Genomic DNA, 4,781 nt, shown 5'->3' with positions numbered 1-4,781 from the left:
CGGATCTCTTAAGACCAGGAGTTCAATACCAGCTTGGCCAACATGATGAAACCCCATTTCTACTAAAAATACAAAAAGTAGCCGGGTGTGGTAGCACGCGCCTGTAGTCCCAGCTACTTGTGGGGCTGAGGCAGGAGGATCGATTGAGCCCAGGAAGTCGAGGCTGCAGGGAATCGTGATTGTGCCACTGCACTCCAGCCGGGGTAACAGAGTGAGACCCTTTCTCTCAAAAAAGGGGGGTGGGGACGAAAAGGCAATTTCTCTGAGGCCTGAACAGTGTTCCTGAGGACAGCATCTGTTTAGGGTTACAGGTGACCCTGTGCCAGCTCTAGGGGCCACATCTCAGTGACAGAAGCGCTAGGCATTCTTTCACACATTGTGCCCCCTGGGGATATGCAGGTCCCATAAGAGGGACACGGTGCCCCTCTTGTCCAGGTTTAAGGGTGGCACTGTGAGGGCCCATTTCTCTGGGATGAGCCTGCCTAGGGCTGGGCTCAGGAGGCAGGAAGACTAGAATGGAATGTGAGAGCTTCCCACGCTCAGAAAGGTGACTGGTGTCTCCAGCTTCTGAGCAGTCCCAGCGATGCGGCAGGGCCTCAGGGGAATAACCGCTTGAACTCAGCAGGGGAGGCGGGCCCAGCCTGTGCAGTGACCTCCACGCCCTGGCTCAACAGGAGGGCATTGAGGACCAGGGGGGTGAGGACGAGGGGTCTGTAAACCAGCCAGTGGCAACCAGAAACCAGAGGCCTCTCCTGCCCGCACCCCGGGACCTTGATAGGACCCCGATAGGACCCCGAGAGGGAAGAAGAGAGCCTCTGTCATGAAAAGAATTGTATTCCAGCCTCGCCAGATTAGATTTGACTTGAAGCAGGAAGAAAGAAATGTGACATTTCTCACCTCATTTTGTTCAAAAAAATCAGAATCCACCACGGAAGTAAATTTGTTTGAGTCGTGGCACGTTTCTCCAGCTCTTCTCTCCTCCACCCCTGGAAGCGAGGGGAGCCCACGGTCTGGGGAAGGGCGGACGTCGGGGCCTTCCCTACCGGACAGCACTGCCGCTTCTGCCATCTGCCTTCCTCCTTCTGCGGACTGTCCCTGCCGGAGGCCCCCAGCGGCCTGGCCTCGCATCAGATCGCCTGAGGGCCTCTCAGGTGTTGGTGGAGGGAGGTCATCTGGGTGGGAGAAGTTTTGCCATCAGCCTGAGGAGAGGACAGTGGGGATTCTGGGCAGAAAACAATGCGAACCATCAACAGAATATACATATATATATATATATATATATATATATATATATATATATATATATAGTTTTTTTTTTTTTTTTTTTTGAGACGGAGTCTCACTTTGTCATCCAGGCTAGAGTGCAGTGGCGCAATCTTGGCTCACTGCAACCTCCACCTTCTGGGTTCAAACAATTCTCCTGCCTCAACCTCCCGGGTAGCTAGGATTACAGGCGCCCACCACCACGCCAGGCTAATTTTTGTATTTTAGTAGAGAGAGAGTTTCGCCATGTTGGCCAGGCTGGTCTTGAACTCCTGACCTCAAGTGATTCACCCGCCTCGGCCTCCAAAGTGCTGGGATTACAGGCATGAGGCACCGCGCCCAGCAACAGAAGTTCTTTTTCCTCCATCTGGCCTTCCAGGTTCAAGCAAAGCCAGTGTCATTTGCCCAGGCCTCTCAGGATTCCTTTTGCTTCCAGAGACTCCCTCTTTACTCCCCACGCCGGGTACCCAGAAAAGTCCTTGAAAGAAATTGTTCTCCTCCTCCCCAGGGGTGGGGGGTACCACTTGGCCAGTGAATGGTTACTCCCAACCTTACCCATGAGCTCAGACACTGACAAGGCTGCAGGTCCTGCTCAAATCAAAATAGGAGCTATCAAATCCCGGGAGGGCCCCTGGCTCTGAGCCCAGTCTTCTTGCCTTCAGGATTTCTCCTGGCACAGAATCAGGAGGGAAACGCGCTCTTTCACTTGAACGCAAGTGAGGACTCGGACAGCAGAGGGAGCCAGCAGCCCGCGGTTGGCGCTGAGGCCCGGCTTCTGAAATCCCATCTGTTCCCAGAGCTTGTTGGCGCCCCCCGTGCAAGTTGGGGCACACAGAAAATACAAGTTTTCTTAAATGAATGCCTCCCAAGGGATCAGAAACAGGGCCCGCTGGGGTTTTCTTACAAATTCGTAACCTGCGTGGCTCTCCCGTGCCAATTAAATAATCAGGAGGAAATACCGCGTTTGTCTATTAAAGCCTGGTGTTGCTTCTCAGAGACTCACGGTGTAATATCAGAGGGAATTTACCTTCCATTGGGATTCTTTTGCCATTAACAATTCTTCCTCTCCGTGGGAACTTGCATGTCGCCTCTTCCCCTCGGCCCTCAGAACGCTTACTCTGTGGGCACACAGGAAAAGGTATGGGGGTCTCTGTGCTGAGCGCCCCAAGTTCCTCGTCTATAGGCAGACATTTTGATAAGCTAATCAGCTCTTTAACCAACTATCTGATAATATCTGATTTTTAAAAAGGCTTTCATAAAGTACTTTGTGCTATAGTAATATTTCCAAAGAGGAGCTGAACCCATTTATTGCAATGAACTAACATTTCGAATGCAATGCTGCTTTTCACCCAGCAACCCACGGCCAGGCCGGGCCTTCTTATTCCTGTTCTTCCGCCGAGGAGTCAGAATTATTTGCACCGCCTGCTCGTGTTCTCCACAGATTTCGTGGGGGCAGGTGCTGTGGGTTTCTGGAGATGAGCACTAACAGCTGTGCCACTCGGGACTTTGAGGAACGCCCAGTCTCCCACCAGCGTTCTCCACGGGGGTATCTGGGTAGTTTTCAAGGCCCCGTGCAGCCCCCACACCTATTTTCTCTGTGGCACCGCGGAGGTCTCAGCCGCACGACTTTCAGCTGGACGCCAGGAGTCTCCACAGAAGAACGTTGATCACTCATGACGTGGGGCGGAGAGATCCACACTGCTGAAGTTTATCAGAGGAGCCAAAGTCTGCCTTTATCTCACTCGGATACTACAGGATGCCTGGGGCTGAAGGATCAGGGAGGGGCAGCGGGGCCAGGAGGGAACCTGGAAGAAGTGAGAGTAGGGGCTTTGGATTAAGCCTGGATTCATAACAGGTGGAATGACACTTCTCAAGGAGGCCTGTTCTGTTTTGTTTTCAAGAGATGGGGTCTCTCTGTGTTGCCCAGGCTAGCACAGTGCTGCAATCACAGCTCACTGCAGCTTTGACCTCCTGGGCTTAAGGGATCCTCCCCCTTCAGCCTCCCAAGTAGCTGGGACTATGGGACTATCGGTGTGAGCCACTACACCTTGCTAGTTGTTGTTTCTTCCCCCCAATCCCCCACCTCACCCCATCCCATAGAGACTGGGGTCTCACTTTGTTGTCCAGGCTGGTCTTGAACTCCTGGCTTCAAGCAATCCACCCTCCTCAGCCTCCCAAAGTGTTGGGATTACAGGCATGAACTACCACACCTGGCCAAGGAGGCTTGTTTAAAATGATGCATCGAGGCCAGGTCATGCCCATAATCCCAACATTTTGGAAGGCCGAGGTGGGTGGATTGCTTGAGCTCAAGAGTTCTAGACCAGCCTGGGCAACATGGCAAAACCCCATCTCTACCTTAGCCAGTTGTGGTGGTTAGCACCTCCCAGCTACTCAGGAGGCTGAGGTGGGAGGATCGCTTCAGCCCAGGAGGTCAAGGCTGCAGTGAGCCAAGATTAGCACCACTGCACTCCAGCCTGGGTGACAGTGAGACCCTGTCTCAAAATATATAAAATGATGCATCCTGGATGGTGGTGACCACAGAGCCTGACCTCAGCCAGTCAGTGTTGTTATCAGGGTCCTCTCAGAGGCGTATGACTCACATTTAGGTCCAACAGCACACTTTGTGATAAATGACAGCATCAGCATTGTTCAAACTACTCAACAGACTGAAACAGTTGGTCAGATCTGTAAGATGAGATTTAACTGAGATACATGTCTTCTTCCCTTTCCATTTTGAATGGAGAAGAAATAACCCCAAAACACCACAGGTGAAAACACCTTAGGTGTTGGGATCGCCTCTGAGCTTATGTGAGACAGGACGCCAAAAAAATGGGGTAATCATAGGCTGCATGCATCCTAAGGATATTGGATCCAGAGTTGGAGGGCCAGTACCAGTGCCGGAATGCCGTGCTCATTTCTGCCTGTCTTTGAAAGGAGCCCAGGAGGGTGGGAGACTGAGACCAAGGCAGGGAGCAGCAGTGGGAAGCCCAAGATGCTTGGTCCAGGAGAAGAGGCTGGGAGAGGGACAGGATAAGGCAGCCACCTCCAAACAGGGAAGGGCAGCCTCAGGAAAGGGGAAGGGAATCAGACCCTATAGGCTGGGAGCTGCATTGGCCCAGGGCATTGGAATCCAACAGACCTGTGTTCGAATCCAACCAAGTGGGTGAGCAATCTCCTTAGCCCTTCTGAGCTGCAGCTTCCTCAACCAAGGGATAATGGGACAATTGAGCTCCCAGAGCCACTCAAGGACAGGATGACAGCCGCGAAGTGCTCAGGAAAGTGCCAGAAGCATGGGAAGTGCTTCAGAAAGTGTACCTTTTGTTACTATCTGGTGGAAATTAGATGGAGGCAGATTTTGGTTTAGTGTAACAGAACCTTGCAACTCTTGGAGCTGCCTTACTGCAGAGTGCAATATGGGCAGGATACGAATATTCAGGTGGTCACAATACTGAAAACTCAATGCTTTTGTGTACTTTGCTGCCTACTTGGAATGATTGCAAGTATTTCCTATTGCCTCA

The 4,781-nt window shown here is 52.1% G+C and overlaps 1 annotated feature.

Annotated features, from left to right (window-relative positions):
- Nucleotides 338–1,252: an enhancer, noted in NCBI's record as "H3K27ac-H3K4me1 hESC enhancer chr14:72220712-72221626 (GRCh37/hg19 assembly coordinates)". NCBI's record gives its function as "activates a minimal SCP1, AML or CMV promoter by ChIP-STARR-seq in primed H9 embryonic stem cells {active_cell/tissue: H9 hESC(primed)}" and the evidence as "EXISTENCE:reporter gene assay evidence [ECO:0000049][PMID:30033119]".

The sequence above is a fragment of the Homo sapiens genome, chromosome 14 (assembly GCF_000001405.40).
Source record: "Homo sapiens chromosome 14, GRCh38.p14 Primary Assembly".
Taxonomy (NCBI): Eukaryota; Metazoa; Chordata; class Mammalia; order Primates; family Hominidae; genus Homo; species Homo sapiens.
This window is presented reverse-complemented; position numbering and strand designations above follow the sequence as displayed.